The 23,780-nt window shown below is 48.2% G+C and overlaps 1 pseudogene, besides 4 other annotated features; it reads right to left on the minus strand.

Annotated features, from left to right (window-relative positions):
* Positions 1–23,437, minus strand: part of OR7E160P (olfactory receptor family 7 subfamily E member 160 pseudogene) — a 37,035-nt pseudogene extending 13,598 nt beyond the window's left edge.
* Positions 2,473–3,134: an enhancer, noted in NCBI's record as "H3K4me1 hESC enhancer chr8:11871185-11871846 (GRCh37/hg19 assembly coordinates)". NCBI's record gives its function as "activates a minimal SCP1, AML or CMV promoter by ChIP-STARR-seq in primed H9 embryonic stem cells {active_cell/tissue: H9 hESC(primed)}" and the evidence as "EXISTENCE:reporter gene assay evidence [ECO:0000049][PMID:30033119]".
* Positions 4,422–4,952: an enhancer, noted in NCBI's record as "H3K4me1 hESC enhancer chr8:11873134-11873664 (GRCh37/hg19 assembly coordinates)". NCBI's record gives its function as "activates a minimal SCP1, AML or CMV promoter by ChIP-STARR-seq in naive H9 embryonic stem cells {active_cell/tissue: H9 hESC(naive)}" and the evidence as "EXISTENCE:reporter gene assay evidence [ECO:0000049][PMID:30033119]".
* Positions 11,084–11,616: an enhancer, noted in NCBI's record as "H3K4me1 hESC enhancer chr8:11879796-11880328 (GRCh37/hg19 assembly coordinates)". NCBI's record gives its function as "activates a minimal SCP1, AML or CMV promoter by ChIP-STARR-seq in naive H9 embryonic stem cells {active_cell/tissue: H9 hESC(naive)}" and the evidence as "EXISTENCE:reporter gene assay evidence [ECO:0000049][PMID:30033119]".
* Positions 20,051–20,550: an enhancer, noted in NCBI's record as "H3K4me1 hESC enhancer chr8:11888763-11889262 (GRCh37/hg19 assembly coordinates)". NCBI's record gives its function as "activates a minimal SCP1, AML or CMV promoter by ChIP-STARR-seq in primed H9 embryonic stem cells {active_cell/tissue: H9 hESC(primed)}" and the evidence as "EXISTENCE:reporter gene assay evidence [ECO:0000049][PMID:30033119]".

The following is a 23,780-nucleotide window of genomic DNA, read 5'->3' on the forward strand; positions in this document are numbered from 1 at the left end:
GCATTGCTCATAAAGGGTACAGCAGGGACCCAAGCTCGACACTCTCACCCTCAAACATTTCCACAAGTGTAGACCAATGGCTCTCAACTGGGGTGGTTTTGCTCACGTACCACTCCCTTGCTCCATGGCATTTGAAACCGTCTGGAGACATCTGGGGTAGCCATAGCCGGGAGGGTAGAATGGCACCTAGAGGATGGAGACCACAGATGCTGCTAACCATCCTACAATACACAGGATGCCCCCCCCCAACCACCACGAATGGTCTCACCCCAAGTGTTGTGACTGTGCCAAAGCTGAGAAACCCAGGTTTCTCCTCAGCAAGAAGGGAAATCCCTGCAACGTGGATGCACCTCTACAGGAGCCCCAGGCTGACAATAACCTTCGTCATCTGGTTTCAACCCTGGATGCTTTTACCTGGTGCATCCATCAGGGATTTCAGGGACTGCAGTGAGTTATCACCCTTGAATGCTCCATTCTGCCTGACAACCCAGAAATCTCTGCCAAGGTGCCTGGTCTTGGGGAAGGCTCAGCAAATGGTTGAGGTTGATAACCAAATACCTAGGAGAGACTTTTCTCTCCCTCCAGGAAGAGCTGTTGGTCAGATACACCCTGGTATCATTCACAAGCGGTCAATAAAGGCTTGGGGAGGGCCAGGTTTTCTAGGCCTTCTCAATGGGATGGGTGTTTGTGGATACACAAGAAGCCTGTGAAACTTCTGATATTGGCAGGAAATCAATGCCCCCACCCTCCACATCCCCACCATAAACACATGCCCTGCAGCAGGACTTGGCACTCAGGGGCTCCTGGGGTCCCCATTTACCTTCTAAAACATCCTCTAGGCACCACCTAATAAAGCAACCCCTTGCCACCCAACCACAAGAGCACAGCCTAGGAGCCACTCCAAGGGACATCCAGTCACATTAAAACCTCAGCCATCCAGAGCACCAGGCCTGGTGATGAGAAAGAACATTTTATCCTTAAAAGCATCTGAATGCCCATGCTGCTTTTCTTGCAGAGAAAAGTCCAAAATAATCTGCTATTAAAGAACGAGGATGGTTTTGGCATTTTTACCAAGCTAATGGTCTACGCAGACAAAATCTCATAAAAGGGCACTCTGTTCTTCTTGATCCACTCAGACATGGCCTGTGAGTGAAGAAACGGGCTCTCCTCCTCAAAGAAATCACTGCTGATCCTCGTACCAGCCTGACACTGCTTCATGGGTTCTTCAAAGAGAGTATTCCCATAGGAACTAAAAGGGAAGAGGAATGTGTCTGGAGGGCATTGTGGGCAGCAGTGGGCTTTGGGCCAACTTTTAAGTTTGAAAATCAAGATTCCCTCTTTTCAAGGGGCCGCCAGACTGAGCAGATACAGGCACCGTGAAAAGAGTGTGCCATATTCAGATTCAGGAAACAAGGATGGTTTCTGGTCAGTTCCTCCATCATCCTTCAGGTCATGCGATTCCCATTTCCCTCTGTGGACCAAACAATTCAGTGGGGTTTCTGACTTTTAAATATTTCATTATCAACATATCATCCTTTTAGCCTCCAGAAAGCATTTTAACATGAAGATTCTGGCTTAAGACTCTTGTGGGTCTGTCTGTTTCTCTCTCTCTCTTTTCCTTGAAACGGTCTCACTTTGTGACCTACGCTGGAGTGCAGTGGCATGATCACAGCTCACTGCAGCCCGACATTCCAGGCTCTAGCAATCCTCCCACCTCAGCCTCCAAAGTACTTGGGACTACAGGCACACACCACCATACCTGGCTTTTTTTTTTTTTTTTTTTTTGGGTAGATAGGAGGCTTCACCATATTGCCCAGGCTGGTCTTAAACTCCTGAGCACAATCGATCCTCCCCTTTCGGCCTCTCAAAGTGCTGGGATTATTGGCTTGAGCCACCATGCCCAGCCAAGAACCTTGTCTCTTGTGATGCACCCCAGAACAAAACATCACTGCAAAAACACACCAGGGCATGAGTTTTAGTCCTAAGTCTCATTTATCCACCATACACTATGTGCCAGGCACAACGCTAAGTGCTTCTATGGACGAGCTTCCCTTAATCTCAGCAGTAACAACCCCAGGCAATGGGGCCTGTTGACAGATCCATTTGCCACTGAAGACAGTAAGGCTCAGAGAGGGTAAGTGGCTTGTGCCATGTCAGCCAGCTAAGGAGGGGCAGAACCAGGATGCAAACCCCAGCCGCCTGGCTTCAGACTCGCGTTCCCAAGGTCCCACTACACTTGGTCACTCCACTGCATTCTGGTATCCTGGTCTTTGGCAGAGTCCACGTAAAAGAGGGAGGTAGAGGGAGTGAGAGGGACTTCATGCAATAGAGTTTCCCGGCGTTACACTGCCACCGTAATTGTGTCCCCGACCAGGACCTCTCTCTTCTCATCCTTTCCGTGATCGGCCCTGGAGAACCTTCGAAAGAACTGTCCTCCTTCTCCCGGGATCTCAGAGAAAATTCACCTGAGTTCAGTGTCCAGGTGACCCAAGCTCTGAATGCAGTAACGTGCACAGGGAGATGAGGATGTCACCATGAGCAAGCCTCCCAGACAGCATCCGGGAGCAACCCCAAGACTGGGCAGGGGGGCTCTGATGCAGCCCACGGCGAGGAGGGCTGCCCGTGCTGCCTAAATGGGTTCAGAATGAAGGCCGCCCTCTCTCCCATGTGGGGCTCATTAACCACGAATCCAATTATTAAGACAAGCTCAGCTGAGCAAATGGTCAAACATAAAAACATGTGGAAGGAACAAAGAGGTCAACCCCATTATCCATCAAAAACCATCAAGGTGGCAGCCCTCACTGAGGGGTACGGCTCTCCAGTGGGTCCTCATCTGCCCTCCAAACCCATGTGCCTCCCCAGTGGAAGGCCAGCAAAGCCACACAGGAAGAGTAGGCGTAGGAAAGCACAAAGTGAACCCCAGGAGGCCAGCCTGGCTACGCAGCCCCATCCCACACACACAGGCCCGGTGACTCAGGGGCCCACGTGTGCAGGACACCGGGAGCTCACAGGGACAGCGCCCCGGGGGATGGAAGGAACTTTGCCTCTCTGTCCCTCTCTGTAGGGATGGAAAGAGGAGAGCGATTTCTGGGATGGAAGCCATCTGCCTCCTCTCAACTCTCGCTGCCCAACCAGAAAGGGAAGAAAAACAGGAAGATGCGGGACAGGTGAGGAGCTGGGTGAGCGCCACCAGCCTGCAGCCCAGCAGAGCAGGGCTTGGCCAAGCCTGGCGCCAGGGACTTCCCCCCTACCCCCACCACAGGCCCCTCGCCAGGTGAGAGGCACCGACAGAATCCCAGACAGATGCCCCAGACAGGATGCCCGGGGCAACCCCCGCCCCTTCCCCTGCTAGGGGCCCCCAGGACGCGGGGCTCCCCCTCTCCTTTTGGCCAGCCACAGAGTCCAGCGGATCTCCCGGCCAGGGATGTCGTGGGAGAATCAGGAAGTCGAAGCCACACAGCCGAGAAGGGGCAGCTGGCGTCTCGGAGGCCGTCACGAGCTGTCACTCCGCGCCCGCCGGACTTGCCGCTCAATTACCAACTTCAACCCAGGGCCGGCCCCGGAGCCTCCCGCCGCCCCTACCCCGCGCCCCTGGCACCCCTGGACCTCCGCGCCCGCGTCACTTACTCCTCTGCCGTCGCCACCTGTCTGGGTCCCGGTCTCCTCCCTGCCTGGCCGCGGCACGTCCTCCCCGTCCTCGCAGTCCTCAGGTTCTGCGCTTCCCCCCTCCAGCAACAGCCGCAGCCTCTTCTCTTCGGGAGGGACGTCGTCCTCTTCCCTCCTGGGCCGGCCATCCCTGCCTCGGGGCTTGCCAGTGGCTTCGGAGCTGCCGGAAGGGCTGGCCATGACTCCGGGGGCTCTGCCTGCACCTGGGGAAGAGGAAGGACCCGGCGCGAGCGGCCTCTCGGCGGAGCTGGGGCGTCTGAGCGAGGGCTCGGTGGGTCAGCGCGGCGCGGGGCTGGGCATCCCGGCGGGCGCGGGCTCCTCCGCGGGCCGCTCCTGGCTCTCTGACGCCCTCTGCCGGCCGCTTGCGCGCACCGCGGACACGCCGGGTACTGGCCTGCCCGGCTCTCACCTGCCCAGGCCCAAGCAGTCGCTGTCCCCTGCCTGTGGCCAGGCCCGCTCTGGCCAGGCCCTGCACCTCCTCCCCGCCCCAGCCAGGTTGCACCCGATGGTCTCCCTGCCCAAGGAGGAGAGAAGAGAAAGGACGCCCCGAGATGGTGGACATCGGCCACAACCACCTTGTCTTTGCTCTTACCCTGTGTCTTCCATGATTTGGAGGTGGTGGGAAACCCGAGGCTGCTCAAAACTCGTGGAGAATTCCGCCTGCAGGATGACATGAATGCACCTTCCCATTGCCTACCAACAGATCTTTTTTGAGCATCACTGTGGACCAGGCGTGGTGATGGGGGAGGGGATATTGTGGAGAACATGACAGGCATTGCCTTCACCCAGTGGGGCTCAGCGCTGGGTGGGAAGGCATTGAGAATGGACATTGTCAATTGGGCAAAAGGAGGCCAAGAAGAAGTGCTGGGGGCATGGGAACTGAAAAAGACAGGAGGCTCAGCAGGTCTTGGAGCTGGGAGAGGGACAGCAGCAGCGGCTGTTCCAAAGGAAGCAACAGCTGAGAGAGGCCTCAGAGAGTTGTTCTCAGCCCAGTGGAGGGTGTTCAGGCAGAGGGAACAGCCTGTGCAAAAGCCCAGAGGCTGGGAAAGAAGCAGAAAGAGGACTGTGGGGCTGGAGCGTGGTGGGCAAGAGGAGAAAGGTGTGGTGGGCAGACAGATTGCCTGGGACCGAGCCGTGCAGGGGCAGAGGAGATAGGGGATCCTTGCAGGCCTCCAGCTGGGGCTGAGGCACAGAGACAATGCAGGTGGGCAAAGGGAGGAGACGTGGAGAAGTATTTTGGAGGCATGCCCTGATGAATGAGCCCAGGATGCACCCTTAGTGTCAGTGTGGAGCTCCTTCCTAGGTTGTGTGATGGGCTGAACTGGGGGGTATTTTCTGGACATCGAAGTGCTACACCCAGAGTCCAGGACAGGCTAAGTGAGCACCAGCAGCTCCTGGCCCACCTCAAAAGCAGGAGAGACAGGGGAGACTGGGGAGGCCAGGGCGGAAGGGGAAGCCAGGAAGGCAGGAGAGGCCAGGGAAGCAGAGGAGGCCAGGGAGGCAGGGGAGGCAGGAGAGGCTGGGGCGGCTGTGTCCTTTCCATGTTTCTGCCCAGGATCCTAGGCCGCTGTACTCCCTGAGCTTCCCCACCCCAAGTGCTGGAACCATGTTGCACAACGGTCTCCCCACTAAGCTCCTGATGGCAGCCCCTACCCTGCTGTGCTCCCTATTTCAACCCTAACAGCTCTCACAGTGGGCAGCACATAGTAGGTGCTCAGGAAACACTGGTGGGAGAGCACGTGGGTCTGCTCAGCACCTTCCTCTCTCCTCCAGCTCTCCCCATCATGAAATAATTCTGATAACGACACATGGACTTTGAGATCCTCTTCTATTACTTGCCATATGCTAATCCATCTATACCTCACAGCAGTCCTGGGGGTGGGTGCTATTAGGATGCCCATTTTACAGAGGAGGAGACTGAGGTATAAAGAGGGTAAGTGACATACGCACACTACAGGGGCTGGGGCCAAGTGATCAGAGCACTCAATCCCCAAAGGCAAGGTGGATGCAGTTACCATAAAAGACAGCAGAGTCAAAGCTGCAACCAGCATAGCCTGACTCTCAGAGACCTACGGTGCCAGCTGATCGTGGCTTTCCTAGAAGTGAAATAGATAAGAAGCCTGCCACATTTTTACTGGATCTGTGTTTGCAGAAGAGTTCTAGATCAGGTGAGCAGAAGTCTAATCTGAATCATAAAAACAGAGTCACAGTCCCCAGTCAATTCCCAGACATAAGCCAGTTCACAGACCCGGATTCCCTTGTCTGAATGGGAAGCCAGGTCCCCTGCAGAAAGGACACTGCTCCACTGCCACAAATTAATACTGTCAATCTTTCTCCCAGCCTGCCTCCAAGGGAATACACAGCCTTTTACCAGGATGACTGAACAGGAGAAAAGGAACTAATGGACCTGTGCAGGATCACTGGACACAGGCTGTGAACTGGCACTAGGATGAGACTAGGGTCTACCAGTCAGAATAGGCATTTTGGAGGTCAGGTGAATGTTGGTGCAAGTTCATGTCATGGTAGATCCATTAGGTCCCCCAATCCATCCTCTGGTTATATACAAAGCGGCAATGCTGAGATTCAAATTCAGGGCATCCAACATAGAGGCTGGGCTCTTACTCATGAAACATTCTGACACTAGTAACCAATTTAAAAATGCAAACACCTCCTGGGGCTAGCCAGAGTCCTCCAAACAGTCATGTAAATTGGTTCTGTCAAGGATTTCCTCCTAACAACCCCTTCCCCCCCTCCCCCGCTCCCCGCCTGTTGCAAGGAGAGACTAGGGAAGGGCATTGGGTAACTTTGTTGCTAAAAGCTCTTCTGGATAAAGAAGAGCTTTATCCAGAAAAAAGAAGCAAAATAGAGTTCAGCAGAAGTTGAGAAAAGAAGCAAACAGAGTTCAGCAGAAGAGGTAAGAAAGTAAGTTTATGTTTGACCAAGCACGGTGGCTCACGCCTGTAATCCTAGCACTTTGGGAAGCCAAGGCGGGCAGATCACGAGGTCAAGAGATCGCACCATCCTGGCCAACATGATGAAGCCCCGTCTGTACTAAAAATTCAAAAATTAGCTGGCCATGATGACACACCCCTGTAGTCCCAGCTACTCGGGAGCCTGAGGCAGGAGAATCACTTGAACGTAGGAGGCAGAGGTAGCAGTGGGCCAAGATCATGCCACTGCATTCCAACCCCGTGACAGAACAAGACTCCATCTCATAAAACAAAACAAAACAAACAAAAAAAAGTAAGCTTATTTTTAAGCCTGAACAAGTGTAGTGGTTTAGGGGTTCTGCAAACACGGCCCCAATCAGGCTACAAGATGTTGTGGCAGCAATATTTACAGCCAGTCACTCCTGGCTGGCTGAGCCACTTTTCAAAACACACTTGCACGGCTGTGCAGAGCGGCTGGCTCCACTGGCAGCCGGCAAAGCCATAATACACACTGTCACCACTGCCCTCAAACCCCTTCGGTAAGCACTTTGTTTTTTTGAGACGGAGTCTTGCTCTGTCATCCAGGCTGGAGTGCAGTGGCACAATCTCGGCTCACTGCAAGCCCCGCCTCCTGGGTTCATTCCATTCTCCTGCCTCAGCCTCCCAAGTACCTGGGACTACAGGTGCCCTCCACCATGCCCGGGTATTTTTTTTATTTTTAGTAGAGATGGGGTTTCACCGTGTGAACCAGGATGGTCTCAATCTCCTGACCTTGTGATCTGCCTGCCTCGGCCTCCCAAAGTGCTGGGATTACAGGCGTGAGCCACAGTGCCCGGCCTGGTAAGCAGTTTTAATCAATGCAACAGGAATAAACATTTGCTGCAGAGCGGCAATGTGCAGGGAGGAACATGCTTCCACTCAGGCTCAGAAAGCAAAACCTCCTGGCTGTTTGCATCTGTGCAAGAGCTCGCAGGAAAAGCCCTCTGTGTGGCTGCCAGCCTCACACATTCCCCCCAAGGGCTGAGTTTCTCTTTCCATGTTAATCTATGCTCTGACGTGCCATCTGTCAACCACCACACCATTCTCAGTTGCCCTTTCAAAGCATCTTTGCCCTGAGAATGGTCACCAGCCCTGCCCTGCAAGCCCCCAGCTGACATTGAACTTAAATGAGAGAGAAAACAGGTTCCAGGGTGGATTTCAGTTCAGCATCTTGGAGTCTCTGTGTGGACATGAAATCTGTCTCCCCAGCTGTGGGCTGCATCTTTGTTTGTCATCTGGTTTCGTTCTTGGGGACTTGGAAACTCGTGGGCACCTTTGCAATTTGTCAAGAAGCTGCACGGCCCTTCCGACAAAAGCAAGGAATAGGAACAGAAGTCCAAGACTTCGGATCAAGGTGCCACTTAAAGCAGCCTCAGTGTAAAAGCAAACAAGAGTCAGAGGGATGCCTAAGGCAGAGTCTAGTCCCCAGGGCAGCTATAAGGCAAAGAGAAAGAGAGACAGAGACAGAAAGACAGAGAGAGATGGGAGGAGACATGAGGCACCCAGGCCTCTGGATCAAAATCCCTACAAGAGGGGCCTCCTAAAAATGCAGGAGGCTGAGGTGGGTGCACACAGAAGTTCAAGACTAGCCTGGGCAACATAGCAAGACCGTGTCTTTACAAAAAATACAAAAATTAGCCGGGTGTGGCGGTGTATGTCTGTGGTCCCAGTTACCCAGGAGGCTGAGGTGGGAGGATGGCTTGAGCCCAGGAGGTAGAGTTGCAGCGAGCTGAGACAGCACCACTGCACTCCAGCCTGGGCAACAGAGTGAGACTTCATCTCAAACAAATTTAAAAATTTTTTTAAAAGGATCACCCTGGCTACTTGAATGGGTAATAAGAAGGTAATAGCAGAAGCAAGGAGACCAGCAGGGAGATTCTGCAGGTGGGAGTCCATAGTGGCTCAGACCAGGCTGGCACTGAAGACTGCCTGAATTCTGTATATATTTTGATGATGAAGAAACTCACCGACTCTTGAAGAGTGGGCTCTAGGAGACGGTATTTTTAACAAGCTGTCAGAGGATTCTAATGCAGGCTGAAGTTGAAAAACTGGTTTAGGTGAAGCTTCTGTTTCATCCTTAGGGAGGTACCTACTGACTTTTCTCCAAGCCACCTCAAAAGAGGTGCTAGACAAGATGTGCTCCAATGTCTGAACATGTGTGCACAGCTCTAGAGCCAACCTCAGGACACTGAGTCAAAGGTTAGGAGTACAACAGTGAACAACCACTGTCCTCTTTTCAATGAGCTTTGCATTTAATGAGAGAAATAAAAAGCAAAAAAAAAAATCATTTTCAACTCAGAATGGTAAGAGTTATGGTGAAAGTATGCCTGGGGCAATGGCAGCAAATAGAAGGGGCACCTGATTGGCTAGGTGCAGTTGTTCTTGCCTGTAATCCCAGCACTTTGGGAGGCCAAGGTGGGTGGATCACTTGAGGCCAGGAGTTCGAAAACAGCCTGGCCAACATGGTGAAATCCTGTCTTTACTAAAAATACAAAAAAAAATTAGCCAGATGTGGTGGCGGGCACCTGTAATTCCAGATACTCAGAAGGCTGAGGTGGGAGAATTGCTTGAACCTGGGAGGCAGAGATTGCAGTGAGCCAAGACCGCGCCACTGCACTCCAGCCTGCATGGTCAGAGCGAAATTCTGTCAAATAAATAAATAAAAGCCTGGAGGTGGGTGGGCATGCAATCTCTATCAGGTGATGAGAAATCCTTCTCCATCACAGGACTCCTCGGTTGAAGACTAGAAAATGGTAGGAACTAGCCAGGTCGATAGGAGAGGTGAGGAAGATCATTCCCAGCAGAGGGAAGAGCATGTGCACAAATCGAGACGTGAGAGGGTGAGGAGCTGAGAGATGTTCATATAATTATAAAAAGTGACTAATATAGAGGTAAGTTGGAGCCAAATCTTAAAGGCTCTTTGTCGTGTTTATCCTGTAGACAAAGGGAGACAGTAGATGTCTTTAGGCAGGGGAGTAATGATCCACTTTGTGCTAGAACAAGAGCAGCCTGGCTGGAGGAGAGTGGGAGGTAAGTAGACCAGGTAGGAGGCTGCAATACACCAAGTGAGACAAGATGGTTGGCTGGACCAAGGCTGTGGCAGTGAGGATGGAGAGGAGACAGTAGACTAACTTGACTGAGAAAGAGGGAGGAATGAAGGAGGAGGCCCAGCTGTTTTGGACGCTGGGTGGATGGTGGTGTGAATCTGACGTGGTGAGCCCTGGCAGAAGAGGAAATCAGGAGAGGCAAGGTAAGATGAGGTCAATGCAAGAAAGACTGCCAAGTAGAGATAACAACTGGGCCGTTGGATTCATCAGCCTGGAGTTATACAGAGAGCTCTGGAATGGAAATAAAGAGGAAAGGACTTTGAGAATAGGTGAATCCTCCCAGAATAATGTGTAGAGAAAGGAGAATAGAACACAGGGGACAGAAAAAGGGAAGAGATTTGTTATTAAAACCAACCATCCATCAGACATCTTCCAATAAAACACTTGTTAGAGGTTTCCTCAGTGTGAGTTATTCAGGACCAGAGCTAAAGACCATATTCCCAATAAAATAACTGCTGGGAAGGTCTTCATGAAAACATTTAATGCTGCTTTTAAAACAACAACAACAAAAAGGCTTTAGCTACTGCACAGACCCTGGAGCAATTTTTCGGCAAGAGTCTATCAAACACGAATCTGATCTGACTCAAGGAGGTGTCATATCAAGTGTAAAAATCCAATTCCAATGTCCATAACAGCCTTTCTGCCAGGTACAAGACCGTAATCCAGTTGAAGTGATTTTCTATTGATGAATAGGCTGGGAATACACAGGTTGTTGGTTTTTGAGATTTCCCTCCCTGTGCCTCATGCCAGCTGTGAAAGAGTCAAAAGGCTCCTAACTGTCAAAATAAAAATGACACTTGGTCACAGAGGAAACAGATTATAGGCCAATCACATTGATGACTTTTTAAATATGAGAAGCCATTAATGTTACTGAATAAGCAAATCTGTTTGCATAACCAGATTTTTATAGGCTACTGGGAATAAAGGTTTTCCTAAGTGGGTGATTTGTACAACGATAGCCTTTGGGTCTCTGATGGAACAGCTCTGATGAGGAAATGTTCCTTTAATTATGTGGAAGGCCAATTACCATGTTATAGCCACATTGTTTTTCAGATTGCATATAATTTCACCATTTCCATAGCTTCAGCACGATAATTCTGGAGAAAATTCAGACACCAAGAAGACACTTGAGGCACAGTATGCTGGAGACAAAGATGTTTTAGCGAATTCAATTTAAGCTTCAACATTAAAGTTATTTTGTTGAATAAAACAAAATGCAATAATGAGCTTGTGTATGTCAACTCTATAGTGCAGGTAATAATAGCTAGAGAGAGCATGTCACATCTCCTCTTTTTAATGCTCATTCGAGTAATACATAATGCTATAGAGAGACCCTTTCTCTAATATGTGCTTCATCTCAGGCTAAGTGTGTTTTGGGCAACCGTGCTTCATGAAAAAAAAAAAAGTAAAGGATCTAATTTGGGAGCCATTCGCAAAAGTGCTACCACTTGATTTTTTTAATACTCTGAGATTTCTTATTCCCAGTGCCCACCAGGAATGGACTTTCTGGAGAAGCTCAGATTAATCACTCCTTATGAGAGGTAACAGCGTGCTGGCAGCCCTCACAGCCCTTGCTCGCTCTCGGTGCCTCCTCTGCCTGGGCTCCCACTTTGGCGGCACTTGACGAGCACTTCAGCCCGTGGCTGCACAGTGGGAGCCCCTTTCTGGGCTGGCCAAGGTCGGAGCTGACTCTCTCAGCTTGCAGGGAGGTGTGGAGAGAGAGACGTGAGCCAGAACCGGGGCTACACGCGCTGCTTGCCTGCCGGCTGGAGTTCCGGGTGGGCGTGGGCTTGGCAGCCCCGCGCTAGGAGCTACCGGCCCCGGACAGTGAGGGGCTTAGCACCTGGGCCAGCAGCTGCTGTGCTGGACTTTTTGCCATGCCTTAGCTGCCTCCCTGCGGGGCAGGGCTCGGGACCTGCAGCCCACCATTCCTTAGCCTCCCCCCTCCGTGGGCTCCTGTGCGGCCCGAGCCTCCCAGATGAGCACCGCCCCCTGCTCCACGCCACCCAGTCCCATTGACCACCCAATGGATGAAGAGTGTGGGCACATGGAGAGGGACTGGCAGGCAGCTCCACCTGCGGCTCTTGTGCGGGATCCACTGGGTGAAGCCAGCTGGGCTCCTGAGTCTGATGGGGACTTGTAGAACCTTTATGTCTAGCTAAGGGATTGTAAATACACAAATCGGCACTCAGTATCTGGCTCAAGGTTTGTAAACACACCAATCAGCACCCTGTGTCTAGCTCAGGGTTTGTGAATGCAACAATAGACACTCTGTATCTAGCCATTATGGTGGGGACTTGGAGAACCTTTGTGTGGACGCTCTGTATCTAGCTAATCTAGTGGGGACGTGGGGAGCCTTTGTGTCTAGCTCACGGATTGTAAATGCACCAATCAGCGCCGTGTCAAAACAGACCACTCATGCTCTCTGTAAAATGGACCAATCAGCAGGATGTGGGTGGGGCCAGGTAAGAGAATAAAAGAAGGCTGCCCGAGTCAGCAGTGGCAACCCGCTGGGGTCCCCTTCCACACTGTGGAAGCTTTGTTCTTTTGCTCTTTGCAATAAATCTTGTTGCTGCTCACTCTTTGGGTCCACACTGCCTTTATGAGCTGTAACACCGTGAAGGTCTGCAGCTTCACTCCTGAAGCCAGCGAGACCATGAACCCACCGGGAGAAATGAACAACTCCAGATGTGCAGCCTTAAGAGCTGTAACACTGTCCATGAAGGTCTGCAGCTTCACTCCTGAGCCAGAAAAACCACAAACCCCACCAGAAGGAAGAAACTTCGAACACATCTGAACATCAGAAGGAACAAACTCCAGACATGCCACCTTTAAGAACTGTAACACTCACCAGGAGGGTCTGCGGCTTCATTCTTGAAGTCATTGAGACCAAGAACCCACCAATTCTGGACACACTTATACACTTGGCACTGGGAGGTCTGTATGGAGCAAGTGAAGAAATCAGCAGAGTGAAGATAGAGGGAGAACAACATGATGGGGGAAAGGCAAAGTTACTGCCATGTTGGTTTCAATTCTGCCACTCATGAGTGAGACCCATGACCTCCTCTCTCTAGGACTCTGTTGTTCTTATCTGTACAGTGGAGGAATAGAAGGGCCTTTTAAAGTATTAACATTTCCTGATCTATCTGTAAAACACTTTCATTCAAACTGATGGGAATCTTGACTACTTTGCCAAGAGGACATAATAATCATCAAGCTGAATGCACCAAACAACATTGCCTGAAACTATCTAAGCAAAAACTGAGAAAGTTACACAGGACAGACAAACCTCCTATGAGACTAAGAACTCTTCAGCACATGCTTAGTGTGTCAAAGACAATGCTGTGTTCACACCATTCCTCTTCCTCTACATGCAGGAAGACTACATTTCCCAGCCTCACTCGCAGTTAGTTTGGAACCATGTGACTGCATTCCCACCAATACGAATGTAAGAAATCACTTCTGGGCCAAGGTTATCAAAGGCAAGTGTGAGCTATGTTCCCTCTCTTCCTATCCATATGGCTACAAGTGAAAAACTCTGAGATGGCAGAATTAAAAGATGGAAACCTCCAGAATCTCTGAATCAATGTTGGACAAGGGCCGCCAAGGAGAACCCCTGCCCTACACCAGACTATGCTATGGGTGCCAACCCACTGAGAGTTCAGGGTTTATTCGTCTCAGCAGCAGTCTATTGTTACACTGACTAACATCCTAAGGTTTGAGAGATCTAGCATATTGTTAATTGAAGCTAGATTTCAATTACACTGAGAACCTTATCTATTTAAAAATAAAAACTCTCCAAAAAAAAAACAAAAAACAAATAATCCACATTCCTTTTAACCACATGTGGCAAATTTGCAAAACAACAACAACAACAACAACAACACCAAAACTGGCCACATATTAGGCCATAAAGAAGTCTCAACAAAATCCACTATACGATTGACCTTGTCCAAACCACATTTTCCTGACCACAATACAACAAAATTAGAAGTCAGCAGCAAAAAGATAGCTAAACACAAGCACACATTTGCAAAATTAAAAATATGCTTTCATGAGTTAAATGAAAAATCACAATAGAAATTACTAAACATTTACAACAGAACGAAAATACAACTTTATATATATATATGTATATATATATATACGTATATATGTATATATATATGTGTATATATATATATATGTTTTTTTTTTATGGGTCTTCCAACTTTGTTCTTCTTTTACAAGGTTATCTGGGAAATTCTGGGTTTCCTGCAAATCCTCATACAGTTTTATGCTGTTTGTCAATTTCTGTGGCTGGGATGAACTTATCGTAGTTCTCATAGACCAGGGTTTGCATGTCGCTGTCTAGAGCCCGGATCTGCTGCACCATGTCCGTCTCACAGTCCATCAGCTGGGCCAGAGGACTCTCTCTAGGCAGCTTGTCTAGGTAAACTTCCCGGTCGAAGTGCGCCCCGTTCCGATCAGTGGGGTCCAGGGGGTCGGGCCCCGTGGGGAGTCCCACCGACTCCCCTTCCGAGAGGCCGTTGTAAAGCTTTAGCATCCTGTGCGCCTTCCGCCGACACTCCGTGAGCCTCCTCCTCAGGCCCTTCTTGGGAGTCCCCAGGTCCACACCCCGGGCTAGGCCCAGTGACAGCTGCCACCGCCATAGGTCCAAATGCAGCCCACGGGCGTAATTTTTGTATTTTTAAGTTGGATACATGGAGCTACTTGGCTTTTGCTTTCATCACATCGTTGAGGAAAGAGGTGGTTGCTTATGGTACCCCTGTTTTTACTGCAACGTGTAATGGATGAGAACCTCCCTGTTACAGAGAGCAAAACACTGAACTAAATTGTGCTGTAACACAGCCCTGTGATGGGGGATTGGGAGTGATCATGCAAATGCTTGCAAATTTGCACAGTGACAGAGACAATCGTCTGCGCAGCTGTTCACTATAGGAAAAGGCAATTGACCAAAAGTCAGTTGTTGAGCTATCTCAATACTTTCATTTTATTTTAACTTTTGCAGCAGGGTGCAATTAAAGGAGAGAAAGAAAACAAGTAATAAGTGTAAGATAATGTACACACATGTGTAAAAGAAAATGACAAGACAGGATGACTATTTGTCTCTTGGTTAGCTCCTTGGGCTCTATGTCTCCTTCCTCAGAGAACCTCGTTTTCCTTTGTCCAGATTTCTTAGGGTGGATAATTCAGGCACCTGCTCCCCCATGATGGAAGCCAAAGACGTCCCTGGAGCCGCCTCCCGCTGCATCCTTTCCTGCACTGCCCACATGGACACAACTCAGCCGATTAGACTTCCTCTCAGAACTTTAGTCTTGAGCAAAGAGATTAAAGGGTGAAGTGACTGAAGGTATGCCCTTCCAAAGTGGTACATGAGCTAATGGCTAAAGTTTGCCAAGCCCATCCAAGCACTTTTATTCGTAATTTTTATTTATTTATTTTTCTGAGACAGAGTCTTGCTCTGTTGCCCAGGCTGGAGTGCAGTGGTGTGATCTCGGTTCACTGCAACCTCTGTCTCTCGGGTTCAAAGGAGTCTCCTGCCTCAGCCTCCCCAGTAGCTGGGATTACAGGCATATGCCACCATGCCTGGCTAATTTTTTTTTCTTTTGTATTTTTAGTAGAGACAGGGTTTCACCATGTTGGCCAGGCTGGTCTCGAACTCCTGACCTTGTGATTCACCTGCCTCAGCCTCCCAAAGGGCTGGGATTATAGGTGTGAGTCACCGTACCCAGCGTCAAAAAGTTTTAAGCAGAGCTAAGAAGTCTTAACCACAGGCACATCGGAGGAGCATTTTTGAAACACTTTCCATCTTCCTCAATAGGAATGGAAGCCAAACTCCGAATTGGTGACTCCTTTGAGGAAGTCCAGAGCTGTAAGGAAAGCCAGGAACAGGGCAAGGGAGAGATGCATCCCGAATGATCCTGTGCCAATTCTTTCTGGAATCGTTGATGTGATCTCAGCTGCCCTCTCTATACATGACACAGTGATTGTGGCACCCACTGGTCTAGCTCTGGTCTCTAAGGAACCCCCAAAGGGAAGGGCACAGTGAGCAGGGGCATCGGCCTGAGTGACAAGGATTTGAGAGGGCCGGTTGGTTGCAGGGAGAGGACTGGCCAAATGCCATGTGTCTGGACTTAGACTGCCTGGTTCAAATTGGAATTCGCCCTTTTTGACTTCGTGATCTGGTACAAGCTACATGAAAATCCGTTGCGCCTTTTCTAGTCTGTAAAATCATCCTGAAATGTGCACTAATAACATGGAGACTAAGCAGATGAAATGAAATATGCTGCATACAGCAAAGAACTCAGAGCCTGGCCTTTAGGAAGCCCTCAGTAAGGGTTCATGATGCCATGGTGTCTGTCGTCATCCTCTTTATCCTCATCATCACCTTCATAATCTTTTTGTTGTTCTTAGGGAATAGTTTAGAGGGACTGATTCCCTGCTATCATGGGTGAGATATCTATGAAAAGGACAACCAGTGGGGGAGGAAAGCAAAATTTTGAATAAGATTTCTGAGACCCCCACCACAACCAAGAACAGAAACTCCACAGTCTGCTGAGCAGAGAGTTGCATATTGGTCTCCTCCCATCTACCCACCGCACTCTCCTGTTTGTCTTGAGAATGAGGAAACAAACAAGGCTCCCGACCGTCCCTCAGCACTCACTTGAAGGGGTGGCCTGCCCCTCCACACCTGTGGGTATTTCTAGTCGTGTGGGATGAGAGACTGAGAAAAGAAATAAGACACAGAGACAAAGTATAGAGAAACAACGGTGAGCCCAGGGGACCGGCACTCAGCATACCAAGGACCTGCACCGGCACCGGCCTCTGAGTTCCCTCAGTTTTTACTGATTATTATTTTTATTATTTTAGCAAAAAGGAATGTAGTAGGAGGGCAGGATGATAAAAAGGAGAAGGTCAGCAATGAACATGTGAGCAATAGAATCTATGTCATAATGAAGTTCAAGGGAAGGTACTATGACTGGACATGTATGTAAGCCAGATTTATGTTTCTCTCCACCCAAACATCTCAGTGGAGTAAAGAATAAGAAGGCAGCATTGCTGCAAACATGTCTCGCCTCCCACCATAGGGCGGTTTTTCTCCCATCTCAGAATTGAACAAATGTACAATCGGGTTTTATATCGAGACATTCAGTTCCCAGTGGCAGGCAGGAGACAGCGGCCTTCCTCTCTCTCAACTGCAAGAGTCTTTCCTCTTTGACTAATCCACCTCAGCACAGACGATCTATGGGGGTTGAGCTGGGGGATGGTCAGTTCTTTCTCCTCCCATGAGGCCACTTATCAGACTATCACATGAGGAGAAACCTTGGACAATACGCCTCTTTCAAGGGCAGAGGTCCCTGCGACTTTCCACAGAGTATCTTGCTCCTGGTTTATTGAGACTAGAGAATCGCTATGACTTTTACCAAGTATACTGCTTGGAAACATCTTGTTAACCAGGCACGTCCTGCATAGCCCTAGATCCCTTAAACCTTGATTTCATACAACACATACTTTTGTGAGCTTCAGGTTGGGTCAAAGTGGTTGGTTCAAAGTGACTGGGGCAAAGCTACAGATTAACAACATCTCAGCAAAGCAATTGTTGAAAGTACAGGTCTTTCTCAAAATGGAGTCTCTTATGTCTTTCCTTTCTACATAGACAGAGTAAGTGTCTGATCTCACTTTCTTTTGCCTACATTCACTGAACTGCTCTTCCCCTCTGCTGGGCCACGACCATGGAGAACAGGTTCAACTGTCCTCCCTGCTTGGTGCACCATGGAGGCTCAGACTCCGTCCTCAAGGCTGGCAAGAAGACAGGGTGAGTCATCAGCCCCCTGATACAGGTGACGGGAGTGGAGCCCACAGGACTGCAACCTCACATTGCAGGGCTGGAGGCACAGACTATTTACTATTCTGTGGGCTGGGGGGCTCAAGGCCCAGAGCTCCTCATTAGCCAAAGTCGCCCAAGTTCCCCAACCTCTAAGGATTTCCTCATAATATTGCAAGAAGAAGAAGAGAAAAGTGAGTGTCCATAGAAGCTTTGGGGCTCTTCCTCTAATCAGGAGAAAGCTGGTGGGTATTCTTCACTTCTTTCTTTACTTTTTAAACATCCAACTGCTTTAATTTTCATCTTTTAATATGGGAAAATATACCACGTATAAATATTAAAAATTATAAATACATATTAGTTCATAGAGAATAGTCTGTATAAATATTTACAGTTTCCACTCTTTTTCAGTTTACAGTTTAACGACATTAAGTAAGTTCACATTGTTTAGCAACCGTCGCCGCCATCGTCTCCGGAACAGTTTTATCTTTCAAAATGGAAATTCCACCCATTCACCAAGCTCTCCATTCCTTTCTCTCGCCCACCCCTGGAGGCCACCTTTCTAGTTTGCAACTCTATGAGTTTAACTACTCTAGACACTTGATAGATAAGCGGAATCATACCTTGTTTAATTTTTTTGTTTTGGAGACAGTCTTTCTCTGTCACCCAGGCTGGAGTGCAGTGGCGTAGTCTGGGCTGACTGCAACCTCCACATCGTGGGTTCAAGCGATTCTTGTGTCTCAGTCTCCCGAGAGGCTGGGATTACAGGCGTGCGCCACCACGCCCTGCTAATTTTTGGATTTTTAATAGAGACGAGCTTTCACCATATTGGCCAGGCTTGTCTCGAACTCCTGACCTGAAGTGATCCGCCTGGCTCAGCCTCCCTAAGTGCTGGGGTTACAGTTGCGAGCCACTGAGCCTGGGCCTGTTTATCCTTTTGGGATTTATTTATTTCACTGACGATAATGTTTTCAAGGTTCATCCATGTTGCGGCCTGCGTCAGAAGTGCCTGTCTGTTTTTTGTTTGTTTGTGTTTTGTTTGTTCGTTTGACTTTGCTTTGTTTTGTGTTCCCATGGAGTCTCACTCTGTCGCACAGGCTGGAGTGCAGTGGCACAATCTGGGCTTACTGCAACCTCCGCTTCCCGGGTTCCAGCGATTCTTGTGCCTCAGCCTACTGAGTAGCTGGGACTATAGGCACACGCCACCACGCTCATTTAATTTTTTGCATTTTCAGTAGAGACAGGGTTTCACCAAGATGGCCAGGCTGGTCTTGAATTCCTGACCTCAGGTGATCCACCCACCTCGGTCTTCCAAGACGCTGCGATTACAGGCGTGAGCAACCACACCGGCCAGAAGTGCCTGCCTTTTGAAGGCTGAATTGTCTTCCATTGTATGAAGGAACTGCAGTGTGCTTTTTCATTCATCTGTCTACGAACCCTTGGGTTGCTTCCACATTTTGGCTGTTGTGAATAATGGTGCTATGAATATGGGTGTACACAAATCTGTCTTCCACTCCTGGCTTCTAATTCTTTTTGGCAGGTACCCACAAATGCAACTGTGGGAACATCTGATCATTCTGTTTCTAATTTTTCCAGTAGACGCCATACTATTTTCCCGGTTCCTTCATGGTTTTACATTCCCTCCGATCACATTCGAGCATTCCTACTTCCCTCTGTTCTAACCAATACCTGTTTGTTTATCATATCCATCCTAATGTGTGGTGTCACATTCTTGGTTTGATTTGCGCTTCCCTATGATGAGTGACTTTGAACATCATTTTAGATGCTTATTGGCCATTACGATATCTTCTTTAGGGACACGTCTACTCGAGTCTTCTGACCATTGTTGATGGGATGCTTTGGGTTTCTTGTTGTTTAGTTCTAGCTGTTCTTCATATATGATGGATATCAGCCTCTTTTCAGATATATGCTTTGCAAATATTTTTCCTAATCCATGGGTTATCTTTTCTCTGAATTTGCAGTGTTTTTTGCTGCACAAAAGTGTCTGTCATTTAGATGTAATCCAAGGAATCTAATTTTCTTTTGTTGCCTATGCTTTTGGTGTCATACCCAGAGAACGTTGCCCAATCTGATGTCATGAAAGTGTGGCCAATGTTTTCTTTTAGGCTTATGATACTTTTAGTCCTTGGGGTTAGGTCTTTGATCCAGTTTGTGTTAATTTTTGCACGTGGTGTGACACAGGGTCCACCTTCATTCTTCTGCATGTGGAAATCAAGTTTCTCCAACACCATTTCTTGAAAAGGCTGCTTTTCCACCAATGAGCTTTCTTAGAACTCATGTGAAAAATCATTTGAACATACAGGTGAGAAGTTATTTCTGGGCTCCAAAGCAAACAAACAAACAACAACAGACACCAGATAAGGATACAGCACGGGCCGGGCGCGGTCGCTCATGCCTGTAATCCCGGCACTTTGGTAGGCCGAGGCGGGCAGATCACCTGAGGTCAGGAGTTGAAGACCAGCCTGACTGACAGGGAGAAACCCGCGTCTCTACTAGAAATAAAACATTAGCTGGGCATGCTGGCACATGCCTGTAATCCCAGCTACTCGGGAGGTGGAGGCAGGAGAATCGCTTGAACCCAGGAGGCAGAGGTTGTGGTGAGCCAAGATTACACCATGACACTCCAGCCTGGGCAACAAGAGCGAAACTCCGTCTCAAAACAAAAAACAAAAAACAAAAAACAAAAAACCAGCATGATTTCAAGAGCAGAAAGAGAAGAGCTTAAAAACCAGCATAATGAGAAAGTTAGGAAGCTTCTTACCAAAGCATCTGGAAATATGCAAGCAATTCTTGTAAACTAAAATTTTCATGCTGTACTATCAAACAGTAGTACTCACTTATTCCATCTTTCTGTATTTTGGGACCCAATTATCCACCTGTCTTCATTCCCTATCCCACCCCTTTTCTTCCTAGCGTCTGCTAAACACCTTTATACTCTCCACCTTCCTGAGATTCCTTTTGTGTGTAGGTGTGTCTGGGATGGAGTCTCTTTTTGTTGCCCAGGTTGGAGTATACAGGCACAATCCGGGCTCACTGCAAGCTCCGCCTCCCGAGTTCAAGCTCTTCTTGGGCCTCAGCCCTCGGATTAGCTGAGACTACAGACACGCGTCACCACGCCGGGCTCATTGTTTGTGTTTTCCGTAGAAACGAGGTTACACCATGTTGGCCAGGCGGGTCTCAAACTCCTGGACTCAAGTGACCCATGCGACTCGGCCTCCCAGAGTGCTGGGATTACAGGCCTGAGAAACCACACCTGGCCAAGGTTTCCTTTTTTCTTCCTACATAGAAGTGAGGACGTGAAATATTTGTCATTCTGTGCCTGGCTTATTTCATTTAATATACAGACCTGCAATCTCATCCATTTTGTCTGCAGCGGAGAGGAGTTTCCTCCTTTTTAGGCTGAATAATACTTCATTGGGTGTGTATACCACAGTTTCTTCATTGAAACAAATTTCTGAAGAGCAAATATTTTTGAAATGCCTCGGAATGTGAAACTTTAGGGATACTGTGCCCATTTTATTCTTTTCTGTTTCCAATCTTATGTATATGCAAGTGTATAACAAAGCAGCAATCAATGTGTGTATAAATCTATAACTTCAACAATTGTAAAATGTAAATGCTAAGTGGTGGCTGGGCGCGGTCACTCATGTCTGTAATCCCAGCATTTTGGGAAGCGGAAGCTGGCGGATCACCTGAGGTCGGGAGTTCTGGACCAGCCTGAACAAAATGGAGAAACACTGTCTCTATTAACAATAAAAAAAAAAAAAAAAAAAAATTAGCCAGGCATGGTAGCGCATGCCTGTAATCCCAGCTCCTTGGAAGGCTGAGTCAGGAGAATTTCTTGAATACGGGAGGCAGAGTTTGCAGTGAGCCGAGACCGTGCCATTGAACTTCAGCCTGGGCAACAAGAGTGAAACTCGGACTCAAAAAAAAAGAAGATAAATAAATAGAAAATGCGAAATGGTAAGAAAAAACAGCATAATAAAATTTATATGGTGTTGATGGACAATGCATTTGAAGATAATATTTGAAGAAATCATATTACAATTAATTTCTGTTCTTACTCATTGGAGCTTGACGCCTCTAAAAACTTCGTCATTGGAACCACCTCTGGTGCTTTAAAAGAAAAAAAAAATCCACACACTCACACAGGTGCAAGGAAATCAGAATCTCAGGCATTGAGACCCAGGCCTCATCATTTCTAAGCTCCCCAGGTGATTTGACTCAAAGCCAAGATTGAGGAACGGCGACATGGATCTCTACACATAACCTGCCTAAATAGATTCTCTAGAAGCAGTTTATAAAGAAATTCCACATGAACTGTGGAAGAGGATATGAATTTGATGTACAGTATGTCCTCACTGAACATCTTTGAAAGTCTCTTGGAAACTTCACCTTGAAGCAAAATTATGTATAGTGAAACCACTTATTTTTCTTCCACAGTATAACTACACGACTTTGAACAACCAATGGTGTTGGAGGACCTCCTGTGCATTGTTTCCATAAAGTCAGTTTTCAGGGAATTCCAAAACGAAGTGAGGACTTCGTGTATATAAAAAGATGGTTGTGATTCCACCTGGATGACAGTGTTATTTCTCAGAAACTAAAAGAGGCCGCCTCGTTATAGAGGATTCTGTCATGAGGTTTCTGCTAAACCAAGGATCCCAGAATCCTCACCCATTCCAGTTAAAGGCATAACGAAGAAAGCAATATTCACAAAGGAAATGCGGAAAGGAATAAAAGCCATCAAGCCACAAAAATAATGTGACTAAGGGACAGGATTTGCAGATGTAGAGATTTAATGTGGTTGCCCTTTCTCACCCACACAAGAAAAAGGATGGAACAGATCATGAGATTCCACTGTTCTGCTGCGCAGCCTCCGCAGGGCACTTTGTATGTCCCTGTTTCTCAGGCTGTACATGAAAAGGTTCAGCATGGGGGTGACCACAGCGTACATCACTGATGCCACCACACCACTCCTGGGGGGTGGTGACACAGCTGAAGCCAGGTACACGACAATGTCTGCTCCATAAAATCAGCAAACAGCTGCTAGGTGAGAGCCACAGGTGGAGAAAGCTTTATACTTCCCATCTGACGATGAAATCCTTAGAATGGAGGGGACAGTTTTATAGTAAGACAAAAGGATCCCTGAAATGGGAAGAAAACCAAACATAGTACTATCGAAATATATGAATATGCTATTGATGACGCTGTCAGAACAGGCAAGTTTGAGAGGTTGAGAGGGGTCACAGACAAAATGAGAGATTTCCACATTCTTGATGATGGTGAGTTATAACACAATCCAACTGTGCAGCTGGGAATCCAACAGGCTGAGGAAAAAGGACACCAAGACGAAGAAGATACAGAGGTGAGGATTCACGATGACTGGATAGTGCAGAGGGCCACAGATGTCTACAAAGCAGTCATAGGCCATCACAGTCAGGAGCATGCCTTCTATACATGCAAAAAGGACCAAGAAATACATCTGTGTCAGGCAGCCCGCATGAGAGATGACTCTGCTATGTGACTGCATGTCCACAATCATCTTGGGAACCGTGGCTGAGGTGAAACCCATGTCAGCCCAGCACAGGTTGGAGAGGAAGAATTACGTGGGGGTGTGGAGGGGGGAGTCAGAGCTGACAGCCGGTATGCTGAGCAGGTTCCTCAGCACCGTGACCAGATACATGGACAGGGACAGGGACAGCAAAGCGAGGACCGGCTGCAGTTCTGGATCCTCTGAGAGTCCCAGGAGGAGGAATTCTCAGACACCTGTGAGATTCCGTGGCCCTGTGTGTCTTGGACACCTTGAGAAGGAAAGAGGATTGGAAAAATAAAAGATAAAAACCAGCCCTTAATGCTAGATGCAAGCAATTCACAAGGAACATCTTCACACTTGCGGACCATACACCGCCAGCAATGTTTCTCAGTTGTGACAATTCCAAAAATCTCAGAATTATTACGTGATTTACTTTTTTGCTATTCAAGGCTTTCTGTACATACTACTTTAGAGAATATCCACTGGAGAATATTAGAAGACCAAAACGTCATATATAACAAATCCGTGATCTCAGTAAAATATGGCCTACTCTTTTCAGAAAAAATACAATGCAATGAAAATGTCCTTCTCTCTTTCAGAAAAAGATCTCAGTCTAATTGAAAGAAATTAAGAAACCGTGAAATACACTCTAC

The sequence above is a fragment of the Homo sapiens genome, chromosome 8, assembly GCF_000001405.40.
Source record: "Homo sapiens chromosome 8, GRCh38.p14 Primary Assembly".
NCBI classification, from domain to species: Eukaryota; Metazoa; Chordata; class Mammalia; order Primates; family Hominidae; genus Homo; species Homo sapiens.